Consider the following 17,823-nt stretch of genomic DNA (forward strand, 5'->3'; position numbering starts at 1 on the left):
AGTAAATGAAGTTTTTCCACCAAATTTGTTCACATATATCCTGTTTTTTTCTTTTTTGGGGGGATTTTTTTTTGTCTTCTGATTATATAGGTGTTAGCTTTGCATTGTTTTGGGAACCAAAATGATTCAATTTTTCTGATGGGGAAACATAGTATTGATTTATCTAACCTGATACATTGAACTAAATATTAATAGGTAGGACTTTAGGAGGGAACACGTTCAGTGTTTTGACAGCTGTAAAACTACCTTTGTGACATAGAAGATTGTCTTTTTATCAAATAGCTGTCTAAAACTGATGGCCTCAGTGCAATTGTAATGTAATTTTTTTTTTTTTTTTTTTGAGATGGAGCCTTACTCTGTTTCCCAGGCTGGAGTGCAGTAGTGTGATCTTGGCTCACTGCAACCTCCGACTCCCAGGTTCAAGCAGTTCTCCCTCCTCAGCCTCCTGAATAGCTGAGATTGCAGGCACCCGCTATTATGCCCGGCTAATTTTTGTATTTTTGTGGCGATGGAGTTTCACCATTTTGGCCAGGATGGTCTTGAACTCCTGACCTCAAGTGATTCACCTGCCTCGGCCTCCCAAAGTGTTGGGATTACAGGCCTGAGCCACTGCGCCCTGCTGTAATTTCTTTGTATGTTTCTATGTACCAACATTTTATTACCCTCCAGTTGCTGAATTTTTCTACAATTCAGAAATTTTCTCATATGCATATATAGCTCCTGTGAACATCTTTATACATTTATCTGCATGCAGATCTGATTATTTCATTACAATAGATTCTTAGAAGAATGACTTAGTCGAAAAGTATACACTTCCTAAAAGTCTTGGTAAATATTTCCAAATTACTTCCCTGAAAAATTGTACTAATTTCTAGTATATAAGAGAATGATCAGCTCACTTAACTCTGGTATTGAATGTTATGAGGGTTATTGGTTTTCTATTTTTAATCTGTAAGCCTTTAGAAGAAATGTGTCATTGTCAGTTTAGGTGGTTTTGAGAATGGTAATGAGGGAGGAGGGATGATACTGATGGGATTCTCTTTTTGCAGCTAATATTCTAAAAATTGCTGTGAAGAATAGATATGACTTTTTATTTATGTATTTGCATTTTCAGGCAGTTCTGCCTTGAGCTAAATGGACTTGCTGTCAAACTTCAGGTAATATTTTCTTTAAGTCAAAGTTATAATTGAAAGTTCTGATTTTTTTTTCTCTGTTTTTATAACTTAATGTGCTTACAAAAACGTATCCACATTTCTAACTTTCTTCTAGAATTTATTATGGAAATATAGTAACCTAAATGATAAGCTTTTTCATTATTATTTTACATATTAAGAAATATAATTATTTTTAACAGAGTGAATGCCATCCAGATACTTGCACTCAAATGACAGCAACTGAACAATGGATTTTTCTTTGTGCAGCTCATAAAACTCCAAAAGAGGTGAGGATTTATGAAATAGAGTAACTAATAAAATTATTATAGCCTAAATCTCTCTCAAGACAATGTTAGACAAGTTTTTAGGGTTTTTAGTTCACTGTTCATTTTGCTATTTCATTTTGAGTTGCTTGTTGTGAAGTTGTTACTGCAGTGCTATTTTAGGATTTCTTATGATAAGCATCATTTTTCATAATTGGGCAATTACATGGGCTAGAACTCACTTCATGATCCACTGGCTATTACGGATTAACATCTGTCACATTGTGCTGATATCTACTGTGTAATGATTGAGATACGCCTGTTTAGGTTTTTGTTCAGATTATTTCTTTTGATAGGAAGAACTATTGATTACTCTGATGCCTAGTTTAAGTAGAAATGTTACTTTTGAGCTTTTAAATATTCATGTTGTTTTTCTCCTTATTTAGTTTTTGTCAAGGTAAGACTATAGGCAGTAGCAGTTTTTTGTTTTGCTCTTTTTTTTTTTTGAGATGGATTCTTACTCCGTTGTCCAGGCTGGAGTGCAGTGGTATGATCTCGGTTCGCTGCAACCTCTGTCTCCGGATTCAGGAGATTCTCATGCATCAACCTCCCAAGTGGCTGAGATTACAGGCATGCGCTATCATGCCGGGCTAATTTTTATATTTTTAGTAGAGATGGGGTTTTGCTATATTGGCAAGCCTGGTCTCAAACTCCTGACCTCAAGTAATCTGCCCACCTCAGTCTCCCAAAGTGCTGGGATTACAGGTGTGAACCACTGTGCCTGGCCTACTGTACTTTTTCTTATTTAAAAAATTTCTTCATATCATCTGATACCCAGTATACTTTTCCTTAGTTGTCTCCAAAATGGTCTTTACATCTGGGTTGTTTATGCATTGCTTTTCCCTTAATCTGTATTCCCATTTAATCTGTTATAATTACTTTTTACTTGACACTGACTCACTGGGGATATTGGGTTAGGCCAATTCTGTAGAATCATAGACCTTGAAGTGGTCATTATATTGATAGACTTCTAAGGCTTGAAGACAAGTGAGGCCCTAGTTGCAAAATCAATATCTGATGTTTTTTGTTTCAAAAAGGACAAATGCTCCAAAATAAGGAGTATTTGATACCTAAGAGAATAGTACTTATTTGGAAGACTGGTTTCATTCAGGATGTCACATTTTTATGTTAATTAATTGAAGCAGTATTAAGATTGTATCTGTCGGCCGGGCGCGGTGGCTCACGCCTGTAATCCCAGCACTTTGGGAGGCCGAGGCGGGCGGATCACGAGGTCAGGAGATCGAGACCATCCCGGCTAAAACGGTGAAACCCCGTCTCTATTAAAAATACAAAAAATTAGCCGGGCGTAGTGGCGGGCGCCTGTAGTCCCAGCTACTTGGGAGGCTGAGGCAGGAGAATGGCGTGAACCCAGGAGGCGGAGCTTGCAGTGAGCCGAGATCCCGCCACTGCACTCCAGCCTGGGCGACAGAGCGAGACTCCGTCTCAAAAAAAATAAAAAATAAAAAAAATAAAAAGATTGTATCTGTCTACATCTGGGAAAATCCACATAGTGGTTTCATTGATAATTCACTGAAGTTGGCTACTTAACGTAGTGAATGATGTGATTATTGCAATTAGGAAACTGAATCAAGAAGGCTGAATCAAGGCTAGTTTTGTTTTGGCAAATAGTAATGATGTATTATTCTTTCTTTAGAGTGGAAGTGATATCCAGTTTGTGATGTGTTATGACTCTTAAATATACTGTCATTCTCATATCCACTTCTTTCTTGATTAATATTAAATGACAGGATAGTCATTAGCATTAAGACCTGTAAATTGAGTCTTAGAATTGCAGCATTGCTTGCTGAAGTCCAGATCTGTTGAACTGGCCATGTGTCAAGGGAGGGTGATAGTAGGATTTCCAAGTGGTAGTTATATTGAGTGGAGTTACTGTAAAAATACAAACAAAAGAACAATTTGAAAGGACACTTTCTGAACTGTTTTTGAATAACTGCTTAGTCAGGAAACTATAGGAACTGACAAACTAAGCTAAGAAAATTGCTCTCATGGATTAAAATCACTAGGGAGATTCTGAAGTGGGAGCAGCAGAATACTTAGCACCAATAATCATTTATTCAGTATCCTTGAGAATTAAAGAGAGGCATTCAGCATATAGAGTAAATTATACAAATAGTGCTTCTAGGCGACAAACATTATAACTTACTGTCTACAAGCCCTCACAGTCACATGCTGATTGTGATCACTTGCAGTAGCATTATGATTATATATTTGGAAAAATATAATACATAAAAATTTGTAAACACCATTACATAGTATTTTGTAACCTGCTATATTTTGCCATTTTTTGCTGTTATAACTGTTACAGAGTAGGAATAGTTACCTGAGAATTAACTGGGGGAAGGTGAAGGGAAGGCAGCTAAAAACAATGCAAAATGTCATCCAAATTAAAAATTCAGAAACCAGTTAAAGGTCTAAAGATACAGTGATGTGGTAACCCATGAGCCCCATGTAGCTGTGTAGCACTTGAAATGTGGGTAGTCAAAATTGAAATATGCTGTAAACACAAAATAAATACTGGATTTCGAAGACAGTAACGCCTGTAATCCCAGCACTTTGGGAGGCCGAGGCAGGTGGGTCACCTGAGGTCAGGAGTTCGAGACCAGCCTAGCCAACATGGTGAAACCCCATCTCTACTAAAAATACAAAAAATTAGCTGAGTGTGATGGGTGTGCACATGTAGTCCCAGCTACTAGGGAGGCTGAGGTGGGAGAATCACCTGAGCCCAAGGACTCAAGGTTGAAGTAAGCAAAGATCACACCACTACACTCCAGCCTATGTGACAGAGAGAGACCATGTCTCAAAAAAAGATTCAGAAATGGCCAGTAAGCACATGAAAAGATGCTCAACATTAGTTATTAAGGCACATCTCAAAACCACAGACAGTTGGTGCGAGGGTTGTGCGTTATTGTTATGCTGATTAACATTGTCTCCTCCACAACCATGCTTGATAAGGGAAAAAAAAAAACCACCGTGAGAATGGAGAAACAAAATGTAGCATGGACATACAATGAAATATTATAAAACCATGAAAGGGAATGAAGTTCTGATACATGCTACAACACAGATGAACCTTTAAAATCCAGTATGTATTATGTGGAGTGAAACAAGTCAGATGCAAAAGGACAGATACTGTAGCATTCCACTTATCTAGAGTGAATAAATTCATATAGACATTTGAAGGTAGGTAGAAGCTGCCAAAGGATGGGCGGTATGGGAAGTTAGTGCTTAAGGGTAATAGACTTTTTTCTTTTCTTTTCTTTTTGAGACAGAGTCTTGCTCTTTTGCCCAGGCTGGAGTTCAGTGGCGCAATCTCGGCTCACTGCAACCTCCGCTTCCCAGGTTCAGGCGATTCTCCTGTCTCAGCTTCCCAAGTGGCTGGGATTTACAGGCATGTGCCACCTCGCCTGACTAATTTTTGTATTTTTAGTAGTGACATGGTTTCACCCTATTGGCCAGGCTGGCCTCGAACTCCTGACCTCATGTGATCCGCCCACCTCAGCCTCCTAAAGTGCTGGGATTATAGATGTGAGCCACTGCGCCCAGCCGAGTTTCTTTCTTTTTTTTTTTTAAGAGACAAGAGTTTCGCTCTGTCGCCCAGGCTGGAGTTTCACTCTGTTGCCCAGGCTGGAGTGCAGTGGCACAATCTTGCCTCACTGTAGCCCCCACCTCCCAGTTTCAAGCAGTTCACTGCCTCAGCCTTCTGAGTAGCTGGGACAACAGGCGTGCACCACCATGCCAGGCTAATTTTTGTATTTTTAGTAGAGACGGAGTTTCACCATGTTGACCAGTTTGGTCTCAAACTCCTGGCCTCAAGTGATCCACCTGCCTTGGCCTCCCAGTGTGCTGGGATTATAGGCATGAGCCACCATGCCTGGCCATAATAGTTTCTGTTTGAGAGTTGGAAACAGTGAAGATGGTTGCACAATATTGTAAATTAATGCCACTAAATTGTACATTTAAAAATGGTCAAAATAGCTGTCTGGGCGCGGTGGCTCACGCCTGTAATTCCAGCACTTGGGGAGGCCAAGGCGGGCGGATCACGAGGTCAGGAGATCAAGACCATCCTGGCTAACACGGTGAAACCCCATCTCTGCTAAAAATACAAAAAATTACCCGGGCGCTGTGGCGTGTGCCTGTAGTCTCAGCTACTTGGGAGGCTGAGGCAGGAGAATGACGTGAACCCTGCAGACGGAGCTTGCACTGAGTGGAGATCACATCACTGCACTCCAGCCTGGGCAACAGAGTGAGACTCCGTCTCAAAAAAAAAAAAAGGGTCAAAATGGAAAAATTTGTGGTGTATATATTTTACTACAATTTTTTAAAATGTTAAGAAAAAAGCATCAAAACCCCAAATGGCATATACTTTCATACCCACTATAATGGCTAAAATAGGAAAGATAGACAATAACAAGTGCTGACGGGGATGTGAAGTGGAACCCCTAAACATTGATGATGGGATTGTAAAATGCTTCAGCTATTTCAAAAAACAGTTTGGAAGTTCCTTAAAATGGTAAGCATAGAGTTGCATACGACCCAGGAATTCCACTCCTTGATATGTAGTTCCCCCAAAATGAAAACATTTATCTGCACAAAGACTTGTACATGAATATTCACAGTCACATTATTTATGATAGCCAAAAAATGGAAACAACCAAATATCCATCAACTGATGAATGGATAAGCAAAATGTGTTGCAGCCATCTCTCAGTAGCCTCAGAGGATTGGTCCCAGGACCCCCATGAATACCAAAACCACAGATACCAAAGTCTCTTATATAAAATGGCATAGTATTTGCATATGACCTATGCACATCCTCCTATATACTTTAAATCATCTCTAGATTACATATAATACTGAATACAATATAAATGCTATATAAATAGTTGTTATACTGTATTTCTTAATTTGTATTATTTTTTATTGTTATGGGGTTTTAAAGTGTAGTTTTGATCTGCAGTTGGTTGAATCTGCAGATGCAAAGTGCTGACTGTATGTGTACAATGGAATAATATTCAGCCATGAAAAGGAATGAAGTCTTAAAGGGAGAAACATACAGTACGGCATTTTGTATATATTAAAAACATTAAAGGCTAAAAAGTTTTGAATTTTAAAAAAAGGAATGAAGTACTGATTCATACTACACCATGGATAAGCCTTGAAAACATAATAGAAGCCAGACACAAAATGCCACTTATTATATTATTTCATTTTAATGAAATATCCAGAATAGGCAAATCCTGTGAAACAGAAATTAGGTTGGTTGTTGCTTAGGGCTGGGGGAAGGAGAGAATGGGAAGTGACTGCTAATTGGTTCAAGGTTTCTTTTTGGGATGCTGAAATGTTCTGAAATTTAGTGGTAATGGTTGCAGAATTTTGTGAATATACTAGAAACTACTGAATTTTTAAGAGTAAATTTTAGTTGTATCAATTATATCTTAAAAGTCAAAAAGTAGCCCATTAATTTTATATCAATTACCTGCTGAAATGGTATTATTTTGGATATAGTGGGTCAAACTACAATATTAAAATTAATTTCACCTCTTTCACGTTACCTTTTTATTTTTTATTTTTTAATTTTTATTTTTGAGACGGAGTCTCACACTCTTGCCCAGGCTGGAGTGCAGTGGCGCGATCTTGGCTCACTGCAAGCTCCGCCTCCCGGGTTCTTGCCATTCTCCTGCCTCAGCCTCCTGAGTAGCTGGGACTACAGGTGCCTGCCACTGCGCACAGCTAATTTTTTGTATTTTTAGTAGAGATGGGGTTTCATCGTGTTAGCCAGGATGGTCTTGATCTCCTGACCTTGTGATCCACCTGCCTCGGCCTCCCAAAATGCTGGAATTATAGGCGTGAGCCACTGCGCCCGGCCTCACGTTATCCCCTTTTTAATGTATCTCTTAGAAAGTTAATTAATTAATTTTTTGAGACGAAATCTTACCCTGTTATCCAGGCTGGAATGCAGTGGCCTGATCTTGGCTTACCTCCCTTGACCTCCTGTGCTCAAGCAATCCTCCTGCCTCAGCCTTCTTGGTAGCTGGGACTACAATCATAGTGCCACCATGTCTGGCTAATTTTTCAAATTTTTTGTAGAGATAGGGGCATTTCCCTGTGTTGCCTAGGCTGGTCTTGAACTCCTGGACTCAAGTGATCTTCCCACTTTGGCCTCCCAAAGTGCTGGAATTACAGGCGTGAGCCACCACATTGGGCCTAGAAAATTTAAAATTAAATATATGGCTTGCATTATACAGTTGACCCTTGAACAACTCCGGGATTGGGATCCCAACCCTCTGTGCAGCTGAAAATCTGAGTATCTAACTTTTGACTCCCCCAAAACTTAATTACTAATAGCCTACTGTTGACTGGAAGCCTTACCGATAACAGTCGATTAACACACATTTTGTATGTTCTGTGTATTATATAGTGTATTGCAATGAAGGAAGCTAGAGAAAATGTTATTCAGAAAATCATAAGGGGCTGGGCGTGATGGCTTATGCCTGTAAACCCAGCACTTTGGGAGGCTGAGATGGGAGGATCGCTTGAGGCCAGGAGTTCGAGACCAGCCTGGTCAACATAGTGAGACCTTCTTTCTTTCTTTTTTTTAAAGAAAATCGTAAGGAAGAGAAAATATATTTGCCATTCATTAAGTGGATCATTGTAAAGGTCTTCCTTGTTGTGTTCATGTCGTTGAGTAGGCTGAGGAGAAAGAGAAAGAAGTGGGGTTGGTCTTGCCGTTGCTGGGAAAATCTGAGCATAAGTGGATTTACGCAGTTCAAACCTGTGTTGTTCAAGGGTCTGCTGTATTTCTGTTGATGATTCTGGTTTAAAGGTTGTAAAACTGTCTCATGGTATACCCAAATGACAAATATGAGAAATACAGTTACTTGGGATATTTGCTTTTGACCAACTCATCTGTGGTCATATATCTGGAGAAAGGTAGTTTTTTTCAATAAATATTGCTCATGGTACTGTTTTTGGCAAGGAGTCCACTAATCAGAAATTCCTGTGGATATATTGTTAGAAAAATACTTCTTTTTTATTAGGTAATTTTTTAGTGCCACGGCACTAAGCCATATTTAGTAGTTACTAAACCGTATTTCTAAGTGACAGCTTCAGTCTCAAACTTGAAAAATAACCTAATTACTGGGTAGAGTCTTTGAGCTACAGTCATTGTTACTCCTTCCTCTAGTTGTTTTTTCCTTCTGGTTGACTCCCTGGTTTGTTTCTAGACTGCTTTCCCCTTGATGTTGCTCCCTGTCTGCCCTCAGGAGGACTGGATGAGGACAATTACTTTGCAGTTTTATTTTTCCTTTAATAAATTTACTGAGTTGCCATGAGACAGTGTTTCATTGTTTCTTTTTTTCATTGTTTCTGATAAATGGAACAGAATAAGTCAGATTTATTAAAATATAAGGAAACTTTGATATTTCATGTTAAAATTCAAAGGTGATCTGGGAGAAAGTTCTTTAGAGGGCTGCTAGATTGATAATAGAGTGCTAGGGACATAATAAGGAATATTGTTTAGGATATAAGAAGGCATCCCTGGAGATACCAGAGATAAATCAGGATTCTTCTTGTCTGTAATTGTTGTTTTCTTGTAGGTACGATGTTGGGAATAAAAATGGGAGACTGGTTTATGTATCATCTAGAATTGTGATATGGTTCAAGGGGATAATAAACCTTACTTATTAATATAACATTATATTTTACAAGCATTCGGAAATTGTAAGGAACTTTTTTCTTAGAACATGCTCATGTCTTTGGAATAAGGTATACCCATATAATGAATATATCTAACTTAAGAGAGAGCTCTTTGTTGATGCATTTCTATATTCTTTCTTTTGTAGTGTCCTGCTATAGACTATACTAGACACACACTTGATGGTGCTGCATGTCTTCTGAATAGCAATAAATATTTTCCCAGCAGGTAATCGAAACTTTTAAACATAGTGTTAAACATTTTAGAGTTAATTTATAAGATTGGTATTTTAGGGGGGAGGGGGGAGGGATAGTATTAGGAGCTATACCTAATGCTAAATGATGAGTTAATGGGTGCAGCACACCAACATGGCACATGTATACATATGTTACAAACCTGCACGTTGTGCACATGTACCCTAAAACTTAAAGTATAAATAATAATAAAATAAAAGATTAGTATTTTAAAAGTAAAATTAGGTTGCTCGTTAATGCATTTTTGTATTTTTTTTTTTAGCTGTTGTATTTTGGCTTGTTTATTCAAGTTTTGAAATTAGGACTGTGGTTAAACAGCAGAACTTGGCTGTCAAAGCTCAAGGCCAGTTCAGTCTAAGGCTAGTACCTGTTCATATATGTCATTCTGCAGAGCTCTCCCTCTCATGCTTTAGAGTTGGGATATGTATATACTTGCTCACTTGAATCTCTATGTTAGTTAGACTCGACCTCCCTTTATGTAGTATGCCTAAAGAGCAGACTTTCTGGCTGGGCGCAGTGGCTCACGGATGTAATCCCAGCACTTTGGGAGGCCGAGGCGTGCGGATCACCTGAGATTGGGAGTTCGAGACCAGCCTGAACAACATGTAGAAACTCCTTCTCTACTAAAAATACAAAATGATCTGGGCATGGTGACGAGTACCTGTAATCCCAGCCACTTGGGAGGCTGAGGCAGGAGAATCGCTTGAACCCAGGAGGCAGAGGTTGTGGTGAGCCGAGATCGCGCCATTGCACTCCGGCCTGGGCAACAAGAGCGAAACTGTCTCAAAAAAAAAAGAGCAGACTTTCTTATTTGTTTTTGAAGGATTCCTTATCCTTGCTCATTGATTTTTAAGATCTGAGAAGTCTGTACATGTAATATATTATCGGTGAAGTTTGTGACTGCCTTTTATTTTATTAAGGTATTTGTTACCAGGTGGATAGATTTGGAGATTTCCCCCACCAAATATGATTAGCTTCAAAGAGCTCATATAAAATATGTTAAGAAAAATACTGACTTTTGACCTTAATATTCTGTGTATACATATTTTAAAAAAGGATATCAGAAATATGCAGAAAATTTCAATTTTAAAAAAACAATTTTAATTTCTCTCTCTCTGTTTTTCTTTTTCTATATGGAGTCTTGCTCAACCAGGCTGGAGTGCAGTGGCGCAATCTCAGCTCACTGCAACCTCTGCCTCCTGGGTTCAAGCGTTTCTCCTGCCTCAGCCTCATGAGTAGCTGGGATTACAAGTGCCTGCCACCACGCCTGGCTGATTTTTGTATTTTCTAGTAGAGACGGGGTTTCACCATGTTGGCCAGGCTGGTTTCGAACTCCTGACCTCAGATGATCCACCTGCCTTGGCCTCCCAAAGTGCTGGGATTACAGGCGTGAGCCACCACACCTGGCCTTAATTTCTAAAAAAAAAAAAAAAAAAAAGAAAAGAAAAGGAAAGAATAACCTAGTTCTGTAAAATAAAACAATAATTCCTTTCAGGAGTTTTCAATCGCCTCTAGTGGACAATGTATTAATGTTGGAAATAGATGTTATAGTAAATTTTGAAATGTCAGGGATTTATTCTAACTGCATTAAACTTTTACAAAGTTTCAAAACTATAATGCTGAATTTAAGTTAGGCCCTGTGATTAGGTAGAAAGAACACTGGCCTAGAACTGAGGAGCAGGGGCTCCAGGCATTTACTCGCAGTGTGACCTTGGAGTAGTCGCTTATTTTCCCTAGGTGTCAGTTTCTACACTTGTAAGCGAGAAATTGGACTATATTGTTCCTAAGATTCTATCCAGTTCTAAGAATCTATGGTTTCTTTTCTACTTCTAGGGTTAGCATAAAGGAATCATCTGTAGCGAAACTAGGATCAGTATGCCGTAGGATTTACAGAATATTTTCACATGCTTATTTTCATCATCGGCAGATATTTGATGAATATGAAGTAAGTATATTTCACTGATTATCTTGATGCATTCTTATCAGTGTAACAGTAATATATATTGATGTTATTTCTAGTCTTTTAGTTTGGGATAGTGAATTAAAATAACATTTTTGTCTTCCTCTCTACAGAATGAAACATTTTTGTGTCATCGGTTTACTAAGTTTGTGATGAAATACAATTTGATGTCCAAGGATAACCTGATTGTACCAATTTTAGAAGAGGAAGTACAGAATTCAGTTTCTGGGGAAAGTGAAGCATGAAGGGAATCATAGGAAAAATGTACTGATCATATAATTAACATTATGTACTGTATATATCATTTTAGACACATCAATCATGTATCCATATTATAGCTTCTTTGTTTAGTATAGGTTTTTGTATGCTGGGTTTGCCTTTTAAAATGGGAAATACTTTTTAAGTTATTCATAAGCTGTATATTCACCAGTGTGGCACTCATGGTTTTTAAATAAGATTAGTATTATCTGTTTATAATGCCTGTTAATAAAAGAATTTACAGTTTGGTAAAATTGCTGCTAAACAATCATTGGATCACAATCCTCATCAGACAAACCCATCTGTAAAAAAAATGAGGGAGAGCTTGAGGTTTCACACAAGCCATTTACTAAAGAGGTAGAAATGTTTTCTATTGGTTTTACCTTGAGTTTAGATATCCTAAAAAATTCTGTAGTACGTAGTTTTGTCTTACCTGTTAACTTTCCCCAATTGAGATAAAAGTGTTTTAAAATTCTGTTTATAGTTTTTGATATGCATATATAATTATGTGTATATCTAAATACAAATGCAAATGAAGCATTAGTAATACTTAAATAATTTTACTGTGCTACATAAAGTATAACATACTTGGAAAGGATTTACCGTTCTGCAACAACGGACTGGTACATACAGGATGATCACAATGGTAAGGCACATAAATTATTTTCCCACTGGAAACCTGCCCTGTCCACCCCTTCTCATTTCCCTTAACCTTATCTTCAAACTACTTTAGCTGAGAAGCTTTTCACCAGACTGAGTTAGTGGTGGCTTATACCTATTTATATTTGTATTAATTGCTTACAGATTATACCTCATATTAGCAATTACATTACACTACAAGAAAATGTATTTGCATAGGCTCTTGCTTATCTTTGTTTTGCAAAATTGTTCTACTTAGAAAACAGTCCTTAAAATAGTTTGACTCTTCCTGTTAGTAATATATTAATCTTTCATTTAACCAGCTAGGCAGCATTAAATAGAATTGAAGAAATACCATAGTATTTATTTTACACCCCCTCTCCCACGAAGTTTATGTTTGGATTACATGCACGTGTGAGATTATTTGCAATAATTCATAGGTTCCAAGGGTGTTGATGAATAGTCATACATTTTTTTGGACTTTGTTATAATTCATTGTGGTAAGAATGATTGAAATGCAGATTTAACAATCTTATAATCTATTGAATGCCATTTTTGATAAAGCACTGGAGGTCTTATTGCCAAACTGATTGTAATGAGGCAGTAAGGGTGAAAACATTGTACATGTTGTGAAGAAAGTATTTAAATCCAACTTTTGAACAGATTTAACAAACATGAGGAACTTTTTTATTTAGAAGGATAATTTTGAAGATGAAAATGTATTCATCTTAATTGTTTTTTCAAATTTAAGGGAATAATTTATACCATCTTTTCAGACAAGAATGTACAGCAAAAATAAGGGGAACAGTAGTATACTGAGAGTGTGTGTATGTATAGTGTATGCCTTTCCAAGCTTGCCAGTCTTTTTGGCTTTGAACACTGCCCATCAGCTACAGTCATTACTGTTCCCCAACCCACAACTATCTTTTAAGAAGTCTTAGTTCACAGTGAAAGGAATGATGACTTTGAAATTATGGATTTATATTAATGGCACTATAAACCAATGGTAATGGTAATTTTTAAACTTGCTAAATATTGAGAAACTAAACTACTAAGTTAATAAATTATATATAGCAGTGTAGCTGTTCTCTCTAGATGGTGTCTCACAATGGATTTCTGTTGCTTGACTATTTTCTTAGTGAATATTTATACTAAGGTAGTGACTGAGATTTGGTGATCTGGCTGAGTATTTTGAAACACATTTTGAATAATATGGCTTAGTGTTAACGGGGACTTAAATATGATTTTTTTTTCTTACTCATTTCACCTTCCCTGTACTGTATGTTTGGAATTGATCATAAAACATCTCCAAAAGAAAATAATCAGTTTGTAGTCTTGCTTTTGTATTCATGTTGATAATCTTACTAATTGTGAAGTTGATTCACTACTATACTAGGTAAGACCTAAGTGAAACAGTTCCTGTTTTTCCTTAATACTGTTTTCAGAATTTTGAAAATGTACTTATATATACATAAATACTACTAAAAAATTAATGAGCCTGGCAAACCATTGATTTATAAAAGTAAGTGTTCTAAGAGGGGAACAAGACAGTTCTGTGTGATAAGGAAGTTAGGCTCCACTTTTTGTTTGAATTACCCTATGTATATCCGAAGGTAAACTTAGGCTTTTCTTTCCAAAAGATCGTATAGTCAATTCATTCTTTTTCTCCTATCACATCTGGGAAAGTAGCTAACTTTTAACTATTTATGTTCCCATAAGTAACCCTTCTTTTGTGTGTATACATTTCCTTTTCTCTGACTTGAGATGTCAAATTTGGATTTCTAGAACAGTTTCTCAGTTAAATTCTTGATGACTTAACAACTTTTACTATCAGAATACAATTAGAAATCCTTGGTCAGGCACAGGGGCTCACGCCTGTAATCCCAGCACTTTGGGAAGCCAAGGCAGACAGATCACCTGAGGTCAGGAGTTCGAGACCAGCCTGACCAACATGGAGAAACCCTGTCTCTACTAAAAATACAAAAATTAGCCGGGCGTGGTGCTACTCGTGAGGCTGAGGCAGGAGAATCGCTTGAACCCGGGAGGTGGAGGTTGCGGTGAGCTGAGATCGTGCCATTGCACTCCAGCCTGGGTAACGAGCAAAACTCCGTCTCAAAAACTCCGTCTCAAAAAAAAAAAATCCTTGATTACATTGTTAGTAAGGACTGTGTTACGATTATAAACACATTTATTGGTTGATGTCAAATTCACTGTAATAGTAGAACTAAGTTTTTTATGTGAGTACTTTGCCCTACTGTCTATATGATGACATCTTTTTTGAGCAGCTAAATTTTAAATTGTATATACTTTATTTTGTGAATCCTTGTTGAATGTGCTAAAGGTTTCTTTGTGTAGTTCTTCCATGCTATGCGAATATTTTAGTAAAAGTAGTTGATTTTTATTTCTTCAAGCATCTCATTGTTAACAGACAATACATATGGACCAGATGTAGTGGCTCACGTCTGTAATCCCAGCCCTTTGGAGGCCAAGGTGGGCAGATCATTTGAGGCCAGGAGTTCAAGACCAGCCTGGCCAACATGGTGAAACCCCATCTCTACTAAAAAAATACAAAAATTAGCCAGGTGTGGTGATGCATGCCTGTAATCCCATCTACATGGGAGGCTGAGGCAGAAGAATAGCTTGAACCTGGGAGGTGGAGGTTGCAGTGAGCCGAGATTGCACCACTGCACTCCAGCCTGGGCGACAGAGTAAGACTCCGTCTCAAAAAAAAAAAAAAACGTATTTGTGCAATATGCTTAGCAGTTTATTTGAGATGATAAGAACATTCAAATCTGTTTTCCTGAAAAAATATGCATTATTAGTATAGAGTACACTATGAAACCGGAAAGCTACCAAGTGAATCCTCTAGAGGGTTAGATTACCTATCTAATAATAGGTTCATTGTGGAGCCTTACTCTTCATTTGTATGACTTTTCTGCTACTTTTTTTTTTTTAGGCGGAGTCTTGTTCTGTCACTCAGGCTGGAGTATAGTGGCGCAGTCTCGGCTCATTGCAACCTCTGCCTCCTGGGTTCAAGTGATTCTCCTGCCTCAGGCTCCTGAGTAGCTGGGACTATAGGTGTGCATCACCACGCCCGGCTAATTTTTGTATTTTTAGTAGAGATGGGGTTTCATCATACTGGTCAGGCTGGTCTTGAACTCTGACCTCAAGTGATCAGCCTGGCTCGACCTCCCAAAGTAGTGGGATTACAGGGGTGAGCCACAGTACCCGGCCTACTTTTTTATAGTACACAAAGCTTCATATCAAGTGTGAGCACCTAATGTAATTAAGCAAAGAGAATACTAAATTTTCGTATTAACCTAAATTTGTAAACGATAAAAACATTGGCCGGGCGTGGTGGCTCATGCCTGTAATCCCAGCACTTTGGGAGGTCAAAGCCAGTGGATCACCTGAGGTCAGGAGTTCGAGACCAGCCTGACTAACAAAATGAAACCCTGTCTCTACTAAAAATACAAAAACTAGCTGGGTGTGGTGATACGCACTTATAAACCCAGCTACTTGGGAGGCTGAGGTACAAGAATCTCTTGAACCTGGGAGGTGGAGGTTGCAATGAGCTGAGATTGTGCCACCGCACTCCAGCCTGGATGAGAGAGCAAGACTCCATCTCAAAAAAAAAAAAAAAAGAAAAGAAAAAATTGACACCGTGAACTTAAATCCATGAAGTATGTCAATTAAGTGATGATTCTAGGATTAACTGTGACATCAATATTTAAAACTAGTGAACTGTTCATTTTTTCATAAGATCAAGATAATATGCTGATCTGGATTTGTCTCATAAACCTTGTTAAAAGCAGTTTTTAATTCCATAAGTAGTGTATTTATCTTTTTTTATTTTATTTTTTGAGATGGAGTCTCACTCCTTTGTCACTCAGGCTGGAGTGCAGTGGTGTGATCTCGGCTCACTGCAACTTCCTCCTCCCAAGTTCAAGCGATTCTCCTGCCTCAGCCTTCCAAGTAGTTGGGACTACAGGCCTGCACCACCGCACCATCACACCCGAGTAATTTTTGTATTTTTAGTAGAGACAAGAGCTTCACCATTTTGGCCAGGCTGATCTCGAACTCCTGACCTCAGGTGATCCACCGGCCTTGGCCTCCCAAAGTGTTGGGATTAGAGGCATGAGCCACTGCGCCCAGCCAAATAGCATATTTATTATTTTATTTTGGGTGGACCTCATGAGAGCCACCTATATCTTATATAACAATTAAAAATATTTACTTCTAGTTTATGTTACAGGTTATAGTATTATCTCTGCCTTTTTTTGTATCAGGAACATGCTTATACAGTATGCTTTATGTAAAATAATTATCTGTATCCCTACAAGTATTTGCTGATATTAAATATTTTTGATGACTGGGCATAGTGGCTCACATCTGTAATCTCAGCATTTTGGGAGGCTAAGGCCAGAGGATTGCTTAAGGCTAGGAGTTTGAGCCAGCCTTTGCAATATAGTGAGACCCCAATTTTTGTCTATACAAAAAATTTAAAAAATTAACTGAGTATGGTGGTGCACACTGGTGGTATCAGCTACTGGGGAGGCTAAGGCAGGGGTTTGGCGGGGATTACTTGAGCCCAGTGGTTTGAGGCCACAGTGAGCTATGGTTGTGCCATTGCACTCCAACCTGCGTGACAGAGTGAGACCTTACCTCAAAAAATAAATATTTTTGGTTTTCCTTAGCATCAATGTCTACAAGAAAATGCTAGGTTTCTTTTAAAAAATGCCTTATTCCTTGTTTTAAAAGTAAGAGATTAAATCAAGAATAACAGGATTCAGTAATCCCCCACTTCTCTCAGAGATAGATTGAGGGGAGTTGATAAAGGAACAAGGGAACTCCAGAGATGAGGAAATAATAGTGGGTATAGTCATTATGGTAATAGCAAATGAGATACCCCTTCACCCAATTCCATAATATCAGTAGGGTCTTTTTGACTTCTGAGAATAAGTCCCTAGTTACCTGCCCTGAAAGATGTCATTATGTTTTTAAAACCAGATATGTATACATAGATAAATCATATGCTTGCCTTGATTTTGGTAAAATTTAAACCACTTTTTAAATCTTTGGTGCATTTTAAAAACATTTTATGAAACAGATGCAGACCTTGGATTCTGATTGTTGAGATACCATGTCAGTAATTGTATTAGTTTCCTATGGCTGTTATAGTAAACCACAAATTTAGTAGATTAAAACAATATAAACGTATCCTGTCACACTTCCTGAGTTCAGAGCTCAAAATCAGCTTTACTGGGCCAAAATACAATTCCTGGTTCCTTCTAGAGGCTCCAGGGAAGAATTCTTTCCTTGCTTCTTTTAGCTTCTGGTGGCTGCCAGCATTCTTTGCCAGCATAATAATTCAAGTCCCTACTTCCATCATCACATTGCTTTTCCTTCTGTGATGGTATTTCCTTCTGACTTCCTCTTACAAGGACACTTGTGATTACATCATTGGGCCCACTTGGGTAATCTCCCAATCTCAAAATCCTTAAGTACTTTTGCAAAGTCC

General features: G+C 38.1%; 2 protein-coding genes and 1 pseudogene across 5 annotated transcripts in view; all 3 read left to right on the forward strand.

The window, feature by feature from the left end:
- The window catches only part of HSPE1-MOB4 (HSPE1-MOB4 readthrough), a 53,321-nt gene extending 38,618 nt beyond the window's left edge, over window positions 1–14,703 (forward strand). The window contains exons 5-9 of the mRNA NM_001202485.2: window positions 1,115–1,157; window positions 1,355–1,441; window positions 9,340–9,419; window positions 11,279–11,390; window positions 11,519–14,703. Of these exons, the coding sequence (NP_001189414.1) occupies window positions 1,115–1,157; window positions 1,355–1,441; window positions 9,340–9,419; window positions 11,279–11,390; window positions 11,519–11,650 (454 nt within the window). The 3' untranslated portion in view covers window positions 11,651–14,703. The remainder of the gene's footprint in view (window positions 1–1,114; window positions 1,158–1,354; window positions 1,442–9,339; window positions 9,420–11,278; window positions 11,391–11,518) is intronic.
- The window catches only part of MOB4 (MOB family member 4, phocein), a 38,146-nt gene extending 23,443 nt beyond the window's left edge, over window positions 1–14,703 (forward strand). For all 4 annotated transcript variants that reach the window (NM_199482.4, NM_015387.5, NM_001100819.3 and 1 more), the window contains 5 exons: window positions 1,115–1,157; window positions 1,355–1,441; window positions 9,340–9,419; window positions 11,279–11,390; window positions 11,519–14,703. In NM_199482.4, the coding sequence (NP_955776.1) occupies window positions 1,115–1,157; window positions 1,355–1,441; window positions 9,340–9,419; window positions 11,279–11,390; window positions 11,519–11,650 (454 nt within the window). In that variant the 3' untranslated portion in view covers window positions 11,651–14,703. The remainder of the gene's footprint in view (window positions 1–1,114; window positions 1,158–1,354; window positions 1,442–9,339; window positions 9,420–11,278; window positions 11,391–11,518) is intronic.
- On the forward strand, window positions 4,380–4,439 carry RNY5P2 (RNY5 pseudogene 2; annotated as a pseudogene).
- Window positions 14,704–17,823: the final 3,120 nt, after the last annotated feature.

This window comes from Homo sapiens, chromosome 2 (assembly GCF_000001405.40).
Source record: "Homo sapiens chromosome 2, GRCh38.p14 Primary Assembly".
Lineage (NCBI taxonomy): Eukaryota > Metazoa > Chordata > Mammalia > Primates > Hominidae > Homo > Homo sapiens.